Source organism: Homo sapiens, chromosome 3, assembly GCF_000001405.40.
Source record: "Homo sapiens chromosome 3, GRCh38.p14 Primary Assembly".
Taxonomy (NCBI): Eukaryota; Metazoa; Chordata; class Mammalia; order Primates; family Hominidae; genus Homo; species Homo sapiens.
Genome location: NC_000003.12, coordinates 73376081 through 73391907, shown reverse-complemented (window position 1 = coordinate 73391907; position 15827 = coordinate 73376081). Strand labels below are relative to the sequence as shown.

Here is a 15827-nt window from a genome sequence, read left to right as displayed (position 1 = left end):
CGTGGCCCTTCAAATAGGCTTGCAGCTTGGAGCTACAAAAACTTGCACAAGTCATTGGCAGAGTGGGCGGGGGAGTGACTTAGCCTGGTTACACTGAGAGCCCTAGGATGGCACCCTAAGGCTCCAACAATTTCCAAAGTTCTGACTTCATTCTGAAGCACAGACTAACTGGCAAATACAATAGCATGTATCCCACATTTGGGCTCACTTTGCTTTTCTCTTATTTAATTTGCAGTAATAGCGGCTGAAACTAATTTCTCAACTGTAAATATCACAGCTGTTGTGGAGAACATTAATTGCACGCTATCACATTACCCTCCTTTCTTGGATCAATTTATGTGTAATCTGTTTGCAAGTTCTATGACTGTGAATATTAAGGGAACGCAATGTGAAATAATCTAACCAAACACATTGGAAACATTTGTACTGAAATGGCTGGGTGGTTTGGGGTATGGAAATATTCTTGTTTGTGGCAGACATTGAAAAAGTGTTTTTGAAAAGCCCTGCCCCAGAAGTCTTGACGCTGAGTGAAATATGGGTAATTTTTCTTTGGGGGATCAATGAAATAACTATTTTCAAAATGACTTTATATTGAGTGAAAGGTCAGAAATGCCGTAGGCATTGATCCTGTGTCCATAATCACTTTTTGTTTAGTAAGTTAACCGGCCCTACACAGTTGAATGCAAAGAAATCCAGTTCCTCATTTGAAGATAATATTTTTAAAGCATTTGACATCCCCTCAACTCGCATTGCCTGCTGGAGTCTCACTGGGAATGCCTTTCTTTGTCTAGGAAGTGGACCTCTACAGAATGAACAGCCAGGACAAGCTGGGCCTCACTGTGTGCTACCGGACGGACGATGAAGACGACATTGGGATTTATATCAGTGAGGTACAAAGGCTGATTTTGTTTTTCTAACTATCGTATCAAGACCAAAAGGGTTTTTTTTTTCATGTTCACCAACCCTAACCCACCTCATCAAGATCTCTTTGGAAAGACACAAATTATTCTGTCCCCCTCATCACACTCCATGGCGCTGCATCTTTCCACGGAGGTTAAGTTCTAATGCCAGTACTTATGGCAAAATTACCCTTGAGAAGCCTGCAAATCAGCCATAAAATGGAGCCGTTTACATGGTTTTGTGTGTTTAGCCCCAAGGGAAGAGCAGATTCACATTTCCCAACTCGTGTTCATTGAGTGGAATGGTGGATGGAATCACTTACACTTTTTAAAGCCTCTCTCTCTCTCTCTCTCACACACACACACACACACATTTTTTTTTCTCTTGGTGGAGTATATATAGTTGACTTCATATAAGTTAAATGTGACTTGTATGTACTTATCAAACTACATAGATGCACGCTGTTTTGATCTTCCTTGAGAAGATAATACAAATCAACTGATTTCAGTATGGAAACTTTACAGTGCACACCCATCCTTGCAAACACAGAAACCCAATTTTGTCAGGAAATAAAATTTGTCGCTACAGAATGATCTACTAGACTTAATAATTATCTCTTTGGTTGTATGTCATTCACCAAGCTTAAGTTAACCCATCCTTTCTGCATTTGGGGACATCCCTCCCCTTACCAGTCCCCCTTGTCCCAATTATATTTCAATTTTAAAGTTATTTTCCAAATTTTAATACAAGTATTTGGTATAAAATAAGGTATAGTTGCTAGTCCACATAATGAAGGGTATCCTTTAACCTGTTCTACATCATTGATTTGATTTTAATTACCATGCATGCAACAAAAGTCAGCTGTGCCTCCTCAGATCAGCAGAGCCTGCACACACTGCTGTGTAACAGGGTTGCTACACAGGGATCCAAGAACCAGCCCTAGAAAGGGCTTAGAAGCAGATCAGCTCATGTTTGCCTCTCCTTGCACGACACTAAGTCTTGTTTATTTCTGTGCAAAACAGAAACACAGGGGTGAGCATGACTGTGTTTTAGAAATGGTTTTGAAAGTGCTGTTGCTTATTTTCATGCATGTCTGCGTTTGCGCTGAGATGGTCCATGTGTGTTTCAGATTGACCCTAACAGCATTGCAGCCAAGGATGGGCGCATCCGAGAAGGAGACCGCATTATCCAGGTAAGTCCACTTCCAAACAATGGCCTCATGATGGGCCTATCACTAAAGAACAAACTGGTTCTAATGATAGGTCTAGGGTTGAAAATGCAGAAGCGGTTAAAGAACAGGGATCACAAACGCAGATGTGTAGTGAGGCCAGACAAGTTAAACTAATTGTGAGGCTATCTCTGAGTCATAAGACGCAAGAGGGAGTGGTGAGGACTGGGACAAACTAGATGGGGCATGTTCTCTCCAAAGAGGGCCTTGCAAAATTTGAGCCAGTTCTCCTTATTTTGTTTCATTCTGTTTGGATCAAAACAAACATCAGTGAGCCAAAGTCAGGCCAACAGTTTACAACTTGTGAACTAAAATAATTCTCGTTTTAGATTTCTCTGAAAGATTAACTTTGGACCAAGCATTTCAGAGGCTCGTCCATAAAAGGGGAACATTTTTGGCAAATTTAGCAGCATCGATTGAAAAGTCTTAGAAATTTTCTGACTCAACATCTAACCATCCTGGAATCGCTTCTAAGGGTCATTACTTGACCTCGAGCCCTGTTGCTCCGTCTAGTCCAAATGAGACCATTCATGTCTCTTTTGGCTACAACCTTCTTTAATCTCACAGAATTGAAATTCTTGGCTTCATTGTGTCCACAAGGCTTAGCTTTCTACCTCTTCTCATCCGTATCCTCTCATTCTTAATCCACTGTGTTTTTCTCATTGCATACCTCACCACAGGTCATTTTGATTTTCTTCTTCCACTGCCTACTCTGGGTTTCTCTAGCCTTCAGCCAGAACCTGTGCTGCTCAGGATCGCTTGCCCTAGGGAAGTGACCCAAACCTTCACACCTGAAGGGTCAGGGTCCTCAGCATACTGCCTCTTTTTTTTTTTTTTTTTTTTTTTTTTGATTGCTGGAGTTTTCCATTAACCTTTACTACTGAGAATGGAAGCACTCAGAGGTACTCCAAGGAATCCCCTAGGTTCCAGACACAATCCTCCCTGCCTCCACTGTGTCACAGCAAGCCCATCTTCCTTGGTAATTGAGGGCAATCACTCCAACCAATAGAGTCACCCCTTTTGCTGCCTGTTGGCTCACTAGTGTAAGGAGGCATATGGAAGCCTCCACTTCCAATTCAGTGGAACCATTGCTGTGTCCCCTGGAGGCGGCGTTCCACCAGGACTAAGACCTCCAGACCAGCAGGGCTCAAAGTCACCAGGACATGCAAGCAAAAATCCTGCAAGAGGGTTAATCAAGTGTGATAGTGAGAGTGTCACGCCCACTTGACCCTCCGCCTGGCCCAAAGAAGTTTAAGTGTCAAACTGGGGACACAAAACACCATGTATAATTCTATTCCATTTTCTTAACCTCAGTTTGCTGCTTTTTCTTCTATATTATCCAATAATGTCTACATATACTCCTGCCTGAATATTATGTCTAATTGCTTCCATGTTCCCTCTGCAGAGCATTATGATTTTTCTCAGTGCCGTCTTCTGGAGGTCCAGCCCCTTCTGTTCACACCCCACACATCACAGTCACCTCATGAACTATACTCATGGAGGCTCCCTTATAGACCAGAGAAACTGCATTGGTCTGAGCAAGACCTTTCCTTCCTAACATCAGTATTCTTTTCCAGCTACACGGAAGTTGTATGTTCTAACTGTGAGTGGGTGACAAATGCAGGTCTGAAATAAAATAGAATGATTTTGCACCATCTAATCATGCTATTTGTCTCCCCACTCTCCCCACCCCCCCTTTTTTTTTAAAAGATTAATGGGATAGAGGTGCAGAACCGTGAAGAGGCTGTGGCTCTTCTAACCAGTGAAGAAAATAAAAACTTTTCATTGCTGATTGCAAGGCCTGAACTCCAGGTAAATTGGCTTCCTACAGATGAAACTGGGTCTATATTTCTAAAATCAAAAGATCCCCAGGCCTGCAAAAGAGCACCTGAGTATTGGCTGCGAACTTGAAGGTGCTTTGTTCCCTGGAAATGTAATCAAACTTGCTGTGATTCAGAATTCACTTTATGAGTTAGCCATTTAAGGTTGGTTAGATGCCCACCCTGGCATCTATACTGCAGGCCCACGACGTTCATTAATGCAGGGATCATAGGGAAGGAAAAGGAAACAGAATTGAATGGAAAACACAACCGGGGTCACGTCAAGACATTTGACTTCCCAAGGCCTGACATATGTTCCAGCCTTGATCTGTGCAGGTTTCATTTACAATAGCAGAGTATGGGGAATTAAAACTTGCTCTTTCAAATTAAAAGAAACATTGAATGATAAATAATTAAAACTGATATGACCACCGAATAAGTGCTAGGCCCTCCGTGGAGCACTTTACACACAGGAGAGCCTTCCCAGGAGATGGAAGTTCCCAGAGATTCAAAAGTTACCCAGGAAAGGCCCAGAAGGAGGGTGATAAAGCAGGGAGGGGTTCAGGCCCAAGTAATCTGATTCAGAAACCTCTGTGTTGTAATAACTCCTTCCACAGGAGGAATCATGAACTCACCCAGGTGGCACTCTTGATCCACTTAGAATGGCTCCAGCAACACATCTAGGGCAATCCAGTAGTAGATCTCTTTAGGTATGTGTATTAGTCCGTTTTCATGCTGCTGATAAAGACATACTCGAGACTGGGTAATTTATAAAGAAAAAAGAGGTTTCATGGACTCACAGTTCCACATGGCTGGGGAGGCCTCACAATCATGGTGGAAGGCAAAAGGCACGTCTTACGTGGCAGCAGGGAAGAGAGATGAGAACCAAGCAAACGGGGTTTCCCCTTATAAAACTATCAGATCTCATGAGACTTATTCACTACCATGAGAACAGTATGGGGAAAACTGCCCCCATGATTCAATTATCTCCCACGAGGTCCCTCGCACAACACGTAGGACTTATGGGAGCTACAATTCAAGGTGAGATTTGGGTGGGGACAGCCAAACCATATCAGTATGAAACCCGATTGAAAAAGCCGAGAGACAGACAGTGGCATACGGGGCATCTGATTCTCCACAGATGGGAGCCTCATGAGCTCAAAGGGAACTTCAGCAATCATCTCACCCACAGTCACAGACTTTTTCTTAAAGGGCCAGATAGTAAATGTTTGACTTGGGTGGCCATACCATCTCTGCCATGACTGCTAGACTGTCACTCTAGTGCAAAAGCAGCCATAGACAATTATGTCAGCGAATGAGCATGGCTGTGTTCTCATTCAACTTTTTTTATTATTATTTATAAAAATACCAGGCTGGATTCAGCCCATGGGCTATAGAGTGCCAACTTCTGAATAGTTCACTCTTTTTTGGGCAAGGCAGATAAAGGCCTCTTAAAAGTGATATCCAGCCAGGCTCAGTGGCTCACGCCTATAATCCCAGCATGTTGGGAGGCTGAGGCAGGAGGTTCACTTGAGGTCAGGATGAGGCCAGCCTGGCCAACATGGTGAAACCCAATCTCTACTAAAAATACCAAAATTAGCTGGGCATAGTGGCGCATTGCCTGTAATCCCAGCTACTCGGGAGGCAGAGGTTGCAGTGAACCTAGATCGTGCCACTGCACTCCAGCCTGGGAGACAGAGTGAGATTCTGTCTCAAAAAAAAAAAAAAAAAAAGTGATATCTTGCCCAAGCCAAACAGCTAGTTACTGTATCAGAAAGAACTCTTTTCACACTGAAAATCATTTTTCTATGGGACCTGTTAAACTCGTGTCTGGTCCAGCAAGCAGGTGGACCAGCTAAATCTACCTGACCCTCCTACACAGGTGTCCTACTGCACTGAAGGTAGCTGAGATGGATGAAAGAGTTTCACCCTGAAAAAAAAAAATCATGGATATTAAAGACTTCCCCAGATGTAGTGTAGGGTTGGAGGTCTGTTTAATGTAAGGGTTGGATAGTTTCCTGACTTAACAGCAAATCATTGGGCAGACTGCATTTTGATGACTCTTGGAGGAAGCCCTAGAAATATTTTCCCCCAAGGTAATGTCATTTTTAAAAAAACATAAATGAACATGAAAGGAAACTTCTAAGGCATGTGTTGGCTGCTCTTGCCTGCAGCTGGATGAGGGCTGGATGGATGATGACAGGAACGACTTTCTGGATGACCTGCACATGGACATGCTGGAGGAGCAGCACCACCAGGCCATGCAATTCACAGCTAGCGTGCTGCAGCAGGTAACGCCCACGCACCAGTCCCTGACACTCTGCCCTGCTGAGCTGGAGGAAAATCTGCTTCCTCCATCTCCCTTTATGGTGCTAAAGACCATCAGAAGTCCATCCACCTGGAAGGCAGCAAGAAAACAGCCTCAAGTACTTTTCTATTTGAGCACCAGACCAGTGAAATGCAAGCTGGTACTGTCCCTAGCTAAGCTTTTAAATCTAAGCAACATTGCCAAAGCAAAGCTGACCTTCTGATAATTTGTTTGGAAAACATATGCGTTGGCATTACCATAGATTGCAAAAAGCCATGTTTTCCAAAGTAAAGCAATCCCCTCTGTTTAACAGGAGCTGCTTGGAGCTCTCTAGCTCCCTGCTATGCTACTACCATTGTCAGAGTCTTAATGAGCCACTTATTGAGTCCTTATTGAGTTGAACAAGGACCTTTATACATCCTTCTACCTGTGTACTGATTCATTTAACAGAATCATTGAGAATCATTCATTGAGATAAAGTGACTATTATCCTCATTTTACAAAACTGAGGACAAGAACAAGAATAAGTGACTTGCCCAGGTAGATACGGGTAGGTGTAGCTAAGGCCCACGCTATTGACGTGGTCCTACTGTCAGATGCTGTCCCTTGGCCTTAGAAATGTACAGCCTGCCCTATCCAGAAACCGCAAGGAAAGGTCAAACCTGAGTACCTGCTGCGCAGGCCTCCCTCACTGTGACCCTTTGTTCTTGTGTTTATGCAGAAGAAGCACGACGAAGACGGTGGGACCACAGATACAGCCACCATCTTGTCCAACCAGCACGAGAAGGACAGCGGTGTGGGGCGGACCGACGAGAGCACCCGTAATGACGAGAGCTCGGAGCAAGAGAACAATGGCGACGACGCCACCGCATCCTCCAACCCGCTGGCGGGGCAGAGGAAGCTCACCTGCAGCCAGGACACCTTGGGCAGCGGCGACCTGCCCTTCAGCAACGAGTCTTTCATTTCGGCCGACTGCACGGACGCCGACTACCTGGGGATCCCGGTGGACGAGTGCGAGCGCTTCCGCGAGCTCCTGGAGCTCAAGTGCCAGGTGAAGAGCGCCACCCCTTACGGCCTGTACTACCCTAGCGGCCCCCTGGACGCCGGCAAGAGTGACCCTGAGAGCGTGGACAAGGAGCTGGAGCTGCTGAACGAAGAGCTGCGCAGCATCGAGCTGGAGTGCCTGAGCATCGTGCGCGCCCACAAGATGCAGCAGCTCAAGGAGCAGTACCGCGAGTCCTGGATGCTGCACAACAGCGGCTTCCGCAACTACAACACCAGCATCGACGTGCGCAGACACGAGCTCTCAGATATCACCGAGCTCCCGGAGAAATCCGACAAGGACAGCTCGAGCGCCTACAACACAGGCGAGAGCTGCCGCAGCACCCCGCTCACCCTGGAGATCTCCCCCGACAACTCCTTGAGGAGAGCGGCGGAGGGCATCAGCTGCCCGAGCAGCGAAGGGGCTGTGGGGACCACGGAAGCCTACGGGCCAGCCTCCAAGAATCTGCTCTCCATCACGGAAGATCCCGAAGTGGGCACCCCTACCTATAGCCCGTCCCTGAAGGAGCTGGACCCCAACCAGCCCCTGGAAAGCAAAGAGCGGAGAGCCAGCGACGGGAGCCGGAGCCCCACGCCCAGCCAGAAGCTGGGCAGCGCCTACCTGCCCTCCTATCACCACTCCCCATACAAGCACGCGCACATCCCGGCGCACGCCCAGCACTACCAGAGCTACATGCAGCTGATCCAGCAGAAGTCGGCCGTGGAGTACGCGCAAAGCCAGATGAGCCTGGTGAGCATGTGCAAGGACCTGAGCTCTCCCACCCCGTCGGAGCCGCGCATGGAGTGGAAGGTGAAGATCCGCAGCGACGGGACGCGCTACATCACCAAGAGGCCCGTGCGGGACCGCCTGCTGCGGGAGCGCGCCCTGAAGATCCGGGAAGAGCGCAGCGGCATGACCACCGACGACGACGCGGTGAGCGAGATGAAGATGGGGCGCTACTGGAGCAAGGAGGAGAGGAAGCAGCACCTGGTGAAGGCCAAGGAGCAGCGGCGGCGGCGCGAGTTCATGATGCAGAGCAGGTTGGATTGTCTCAAGGAGCAGCAAGCAGCCGATGACAGGAAGGAGATGAACATTCTCGAACTGAGCCACAAAAAGATGATGAAGAAGAGGAATAAGAAAATCTTCGATAACTGGATGACGATCCAAGAACTCTTAACCCACGGCACAAAATCCCCGGACGGCACTAGAGTATACAATTCCTTCCTATCGGTGACTACTGTATAATTTTCACTTCTGCATTATGTACATAAAGGAGACCACTACCACTGGGGTAGAAATTCCTGCCTCGTTCAATGCGGCAAGTTTTTGTATATAAGATAAGTACGGTCTTCATGTTTATAGTCCAAATTTGCAAACCCTACAACTCTGGGTGTCATAGGTCTATTTTAAGGGAAGAGAGAGAAAAACACCCTTACTATCTTGGAAGGCAATATTAACAAACAGAGCTTTTTTCAAATAGCAATTGTACTTTTCTACCTGTACCCTTTTACATAAAGTGTTTAAATTTCAGAAAGATCTTTTATTAAGCATACTTTCACAGAATAACTTGTTTAAACTATATTCATATAAAAAAGTTAAACACGCTTTTTTTCCTGCCTAAAACACAAATACAACTGCCAGTATGTATTTTTAATGGAACCCTATTTTATAATGGTACGTTACTGAATGTGTTTCATATGCGTGACCGTTAAGATATTATCATTTAGGTGAAGGTTTCAACTCAAAACCACCCAACCCGGTGGTTAACGATTTAATACATATAACCAAACCGGCAGCGTTTAGAGTTGGGATATACATTTAAACATTTTCCTGGTTAAGGTTCCCAAGAGAGTGTAAAGGTTTTAGCAGAAAGCAAAATATCTTGCATCTTTATGGAAGTTTAAAGCATGTTTGCAAATATTGCAGCCCATTGAAAGAATTTGCATGTACAGGAAAGTTGTGGATGGAGACGGTTTGTGGAATTTTAAGTGCTCATTGTAGTAAACTTTTGCTTTGTAGATTTGAAGGTACAGACTTATACAGGCAAGTTCACAAAATCATGATTAGTTACAAACAGTAAAATGAAGTTAAAATAAATTATTATTTTCTATTTGATATGTTTTGATGTGATTCCTCATTTTGCAGTGGTGCCTATAAAATAAAAGCCTTTTGCAGTGTTTGCTTTTTTTCCCTTGGTTGTGGTTGTATTACATGCTACTTTGGAAGGATTTAAGTATTTTAGACCATCTGATGTCTTCACATTCAGCCTCAAACCTAATGATGGATATAAAGCGAAGGTCTAGCAGTGAAGAATACAGGGTCAAATTTACAATACAACCCTGCATTCTCACTGCCTGTCTCACAGGAAGTTTCAGCCTGGCCCAATATCCTATAAACAAGAATAGCTATGAGCAACTTTATCAATCAATCAGGGTCATGTTTACAGTGAAATCTCTTTCGTTTATTGCAACCATTACTGCCTATCAGTAATAACAACTCCGGGTGGCTAGGTCCAGCTTTCCATTTCTAAGATGCATCTGCAAATCAGGCAATATTTTCATAGAAAAACAGGGGTCACCAAACTGGGTGGGCTTCAAATCTGGTATCTTTCTGACTACTGCAACCACCAGGATCCTAAATAATGAATTTGCTACAAATAATTGTTTCCTGATTGATTGTAATGTTTACACCAATTTCAGCTGTAATACTTACTGAAAAAAAGTAAGATAAAGATAGATAGGATTAGGAAGAGTGTCATTTTTATTTGCCATGATGCCATACATCTGGTTTACTCTCCAATCCAAATGGAATTTGGATTGAAATGACCAGGTGTTTTAGGCATTTCAGACATACATTCCTCCCACAGACCCTGCTCGAACCACAGTCCCTCCTTTGGGACCAGAATCTTGAGGCTAATTAGTAGTCACGCTTTTAATAAAACAACTTAATGAAAATAAAACACTGAAGTACTTATTCCTCATTATTAAGATGTCTGTTCATTACCTCTTCCAGAACCAGGCATTGTTAAGATAATTACATCTGCTACATTATTCTAATCAGCCCTCCAAGGTGAAATTTTTGCAAAGAGTGCACTATTAGGGCCTCGGTTTTCCAATATTCTCCAAGTTTTAACTTTCCACAAAATCTGATCCTTACCTCCCAGGAGAAGCTCCCCTTTCACAGCCATGTCACCTCATACCCTGTCTTCCTAGTTAATGTTTCACAGTGAACAAACATCAGTCAGATGAATTATAAATTGCTGCAAAGCATATATAAGCGTATGAGTGAGTTTATATGGGGAAATAGCTTTCCTCCCCTTGTGTGTTCTCGCTGAAGGCCAGAGGAGGCTACGTGGCCACAGGAACCGCTTTAACCTAAACAGTCAAGCACAAGGGTTTCTAACCAGGTCTCCCCACGTGTCTCTGGATTTGGGGGTCAGCTCGTGCACTTAGAAAAAGTAGAGGGAAATAATAGCGTGCATTCAAATCCAATTCTAGATCCTTTGATTTCAACGTATTTTTAAATCACTTTTATCATCTAGATATACTTAGTCATAACATGCAGTGTAATATGAGGCTTCCCAAATCTAATTTAGCCGATTAACTTCTAAAAGAAATTGGAAGAGATCTTAGAAATCATCACTTCAGACTGGATTAAGAAAATGTGGCACATATACACCATGGAATACTATGCAGCCATAAAAAATGATGAGTTCATGTCTTTTATAGGGACATGGATGAAATTGGAAATCATCATTCTCAGTAAACTATCGCAAGAACAAAAAACCAAACACCGCATATTCTCACGCATAGGTGGGAATCGAACAATGAGATCACATGGACACGGGAAGGGGAATATCACACTCTGGGGACTGTGGGGGGGTGGGGGGAGGGGGGAGGGATAGCATTGGGAGATATACCTAATGCTAGATGACGAGTTAGTGGGTGCAGCGCACCAGCATGGCACACGTATACATATGTAACTAACCTGCACAATGTGCACATGTACCCTAAAACTTAAAGTATAATAAAAAAAAAAAAGAAAGAAATCATCACTTTATCAATGAACAGGGCACTCAGAGAGGCAAAGAAATACAGTGCAGCTCATTCATAACCAAACTGGGATTTGAACTCAGAACCCAACACCTGGTTCCACAATTCTTAGCACCCCATACTCTGAAGAATCGTCCTCATGTGCACAGTTAACTTAAATGCATTAAATCCTTTGCCCTCAACCAAAAAACAAATGCATTTCACCAGTGGATGCCCCAGAGTGAACATAAGAGTAATCATGAATCTGCCATTTCTTCCAGAAGCATGAACTCCAAGTGCCTCACAGTGCATTTCTGAGCTGGCGGTTGGGATGAAAATTTTCCTGGGTAATAGTGATGAGACAATTTCTAGCTTCTGTTCTCACTGATGTAAAGCCCTAGTTTCTGTGTAAACAGAACGTCCACTGTAACTAACAGGCCTTTCTACCGCCCTGGCTGCATGTACTTTACTTCTTGGACCCACTGAAGGATCTGGTGGAAGCTATAGATTCTATCTGCAGAAAATGTACTTATAATGAATAATACATTAAAAAGTGCATATAATCAGAGACTTCACATACCCCCAAAGTCCATTCACAGATCCCCTCTAAGCATGCAAGAACCCCAAGTTTAGAATAACCAAATTTGATAGGTTTATTTCTCAGACTTTTATTTCAGCTTCATCTTATAGCACACTATTTGATTTGAATGCCTACTTTTAATATCAAGGACTACTTTTCTTCCTATTAGAACTATATTGTTTAACACAATTAAAATTTACCAAATCACTAGTACCTACACTCTTCCAGTCATTGTGCAGTTTTTCTCACAGCTATGTAAATTGAGGAATGATTAATACAGATTTCTGATTCTCCATAGCAGCCACCCCACTGGCTGGATGACTCAGGTTTAAACTAATTATAAAATACAAAAGAAGGAAATGACAATGTTTTGACCATCTAGAGCTGCACTGCCCAATACCATAGCCACTAGCCACATCTGGCTATTAAGCAGTTAAAATGCGGTTAGTCCAAATTGAAATGTTCTGAGAAAATGGATTTCAACGACTTTGTATTTAAAAATGAAAAGTATTTTGATAATTTTTATGTAGAAATCATTTTGCATATGTTGGATTGAATAAAATACATAGTTATCACTAATTTAACCTGTTTAACTGTTTAATGTGAATGCTAGATTTTTAATTACATATGTGGCTTGCATTATACTTCCATTGGGCAGCACAGATACAGAAAATATCGGGCAAGTACATGCTAAACCCTTGCCCTCATCATCTCACTAAATCCTTGGAGCAGTTCTATGAAGCACATGCTTTATCAGTAGTTTAGACTCAGATTAAGAACTTTGCCCAGAGAAGCATAAAGGTGTGATTTGAATTGGCATCTGCCTAATACCAAACCCTTTACCTGTGCTTCCATCTCCTCCTAAGAAGCAATTCAAAGTATGTTCAGTTTAGGTTAATATTTGTAACATATTCATAATCACAAAGAAATTACTTCAAAGTAGCAAGCATTTCACTCAGTTCCCTTTGAGTTCTAAATTGCAGAATATTCTAACTCTCGGCAAGAACACATGACAATGCATAGATATCTAGTAATGTGGGGGCACAAGCTAAGTTTTTCATCTTTTAAATGGAAACAGGAGATCCCAAATAGCAAAAATCACAAATATGATAAGGTGGGATTATACATCGCCTAAGGAATACTAGTTGGAGAACTAATTAAGACTATAAGCTGAAATATGAAAATTAACCAAGTAATTATCTACTTGTAGCCTTCAGAAGTAGGTTACAGATTACTTGTTAGCAACATTGCCCAAAACCAAGGAAGCAAACACAATTCTGCCACAAGCAATTGAGACTCCCACTTTTATTTCTGTTTCTCGCTTTTAAGTATTTTAGGATTTCTGTGGAGCATCAACTAATTAAAAAGAAAATCACTAAAACTGAGATAAGATGCAAGAATTCTCCTGGCAAATGCTGTAGTCTTCAATTTTGATTAAATGTGAATTCCCTAAAGCAGTTATAAAACAAAGTGTTGTTCTTTTGAGTTTCATTCAGATGGGGTTTTTCTGCTTAAATGGTTCATTTTCTTTAGCTTTCAGCTGCAACTAATCCTGAAAGGGCACAGTCCACAGGGACATGTGGTTTGCCTATAATGTGGTTTTGCCTTTCAATGGCAGAATGCTGACCTCCGTGCACTCAGCATCTCTTTAAAATGAAAAATGGGGAATTAATGATCCCTCCTTCATTGGGGCTATTGCAAATTTAAACTTGCTCACCAATTAGTAAGTCTCGCTAAAATCCTCAAAAGCCAAAAGAAACTCCCTAAACCTCATCAGAGTCTCTCAAAAATATACTAGGAAGTAATTAAATTGTGTTTTTAGTTCTCTTTGGAGAACTACATGTCTCCCAGACATTGTGGGCTTGACTTAGCAGTTTCAGCTCTGTGGAATTATGACAACCTTATGCATCGAGGAGCCATGTCAGAAACCAGCACGGATTCCTTCATCCACTAGTTACTATGTGCATACTCAATCTAGGGCCATGGGGAGGTCTCTGGAGTGTACAGTCCGGTGAGAAAGAAAACAGTAATGCAATCATCACACAAATACTTATAAAGCATCAACAAGATCGGAATAAGGGTCAGATAGGAGAGCCAGTGCCACAGATTTCACAGAGAGTCTCCCTTAAAAAGTTATGTTTGATCTGAGAGCCAATAGATGAATGTGAGTTAACTAGAAAGGTAGTTAAATAGAGGAAATAGCATGTACAAAGATCCTGAAGTGAGAGAGATGTGGCCTACATGAAACAAACAGACAGACAGTCCGGCGTGACTTGAGCTCAAAAACAATGGACAAAGAGAATAGAATTCAGTGTGAAAAGACAGGGAGCTAGGAAGGAATGACACTGTCTACTAGACCATAGATAACCTATTCGTTATGGCCAACCTTTATTGAGCATCTAATATGTGCCAGAAACTGTGCTAAGTCTTTTACATGTGCTAACTCCCTTAACCATAAGTAGCCTACCTGATGGGTGGGATTGTTCTTATTTTGTGGATAAGGAAATAAAGAAGGCTTAGAAAAGCAACCAGCTGGTACATGGCTAAGGGGAAAAGTGAAACCATCTCTCTCTGACCGCACTGAATCGCTGGGCTGGAAGTAGCACCTCCATGACAGGCACTGTGGAAAAGGCTCATGTATTTCAGCAGATACCTAACATCTGGAGACCTTTGGTGACTATTTTGTGCCCTGCCTTTTTCTACTCAGGACTAAATCTGTTTATAACCCTGTTACTTCCCAATTTTATGCCACAGCAGATGAAAACTTAACATGCTTTCTCAATCCACTTCTGCAAAGTCAACCACCTTGACCACTAGATAGAACATATTTCCCAATCCAGTGCTCCATTTTCCATCATCCACCAGGAAACACACAGGAGCTTAGGAAGAGAGCTTCCTTTCCCTTGCTTACCAGCTACAGTCTTTACCACCAGTTCTCACCACCACCCCAGAGAAGTACCTGATCTGATGAGATGGTCCCATTGAATGCATAATGAAGAAGGCAATTTAAGTGGTTTGAGGACCACAGCTTCTCTGCTTACCCACCCCCGTGAAATACCTGTCCTGAATTGTACCTTGCTGTGTAAATTAATGTGGGTGATTCCACATTGAAGAGCAAGGTTCTGCAATCCCTGCTGCCACCCAATCAGATCTTCCTTCCGTAAATGATCTCCAAAGCACTGTAAGCAGAGGCCACAAGGTTTCACAGGCACTAAACAGCCACCTTTATAAACAAGTTTCTCAGTGCCCATGAACTGGAGGCACAGACAGCACACAGGGGCTAAATGAATTCCTAACTATAATTTAAGCTTTGCCATTTTCTGAGAAGCAGGGGATTTAAGACATAGAATGTGGGTTTTATAAATGCTTAACAGTTACCAGAACAAACAAAATCTGCCTGTTGGGTTTCAGAGGAGAGTCTTATGGATAAAGGGGATTGAGTTTTGACCGAAAAATGAGAATCTAAGTACCACTTTCAGTATGACCTGTGTCTTTGGAAGTTGCCAGTTTAAACTGGGCCTTGTCACAAACATTTATGGACTTCGTTACCTTAAGAACATGGGCACACCCACTCTGGATTCCAAGCCACCAATGTTTTAAGTGGCACTTTTTTGGGAAGGCTTATCAAATATAAACCAATATATATGCAATTATAAATATATATATAATACCAATATATACCAATTTTTTAAACTGGCTGCTAAACTTCTGGCTCTTTTTGAGGCAGTCTTTACAGGAATGAGACCTGTTTCTATTTCTAGTCCATCAACTCTCCTGCTTTTTCCTCCTCCTGACTAGGGACACTTCTGTAATACTAAGATATCATGATGTTTCCCTTATGAACAACAGGTACAATCTATAAAACAGGCTTGGAGTGTATTCCTTCATTCAGCATCAAGAATAATTCCAAAAGAAGTA

At 42.9% G+C, this 15827-nt stretch overlaps 1 protein-coding gene across 6 annotated transcripts in view; it reads left to right on the top strand.

The window, feature by feature from the left end:
* The window catches only part of PDZRN3 (PDZ domain containing ring finger 3), a 242511-nt gene extending 233034 nt beyond the window's left edge, over positions 1-9477 (top strand). For all 6 annotated transcript variants that reach the window (XM_017005942.3, NM_015009.3, NM_001303139.2 and 3 more), the window contains 5 exons: positions 792-890; positions 2030-2092; positions 3839-3940; positions 6123-6239; positions 6978-9477. In XM_017005942.3, coding sequence (XP_016861431.1) covers positions 792-890; positions 2030-2092; positions 3839-3940; positions 6123-6239; positions 6978-8543 — 1947 coding nt within the window. In that variant the 3' untranslated portion in view covers positions 8544-9477. The remainder of the gene's footprint in view (positions 1-791; positions 891-2029; positions 2093-3838; positions 3941-6122; positions 6240-6977) is intronic.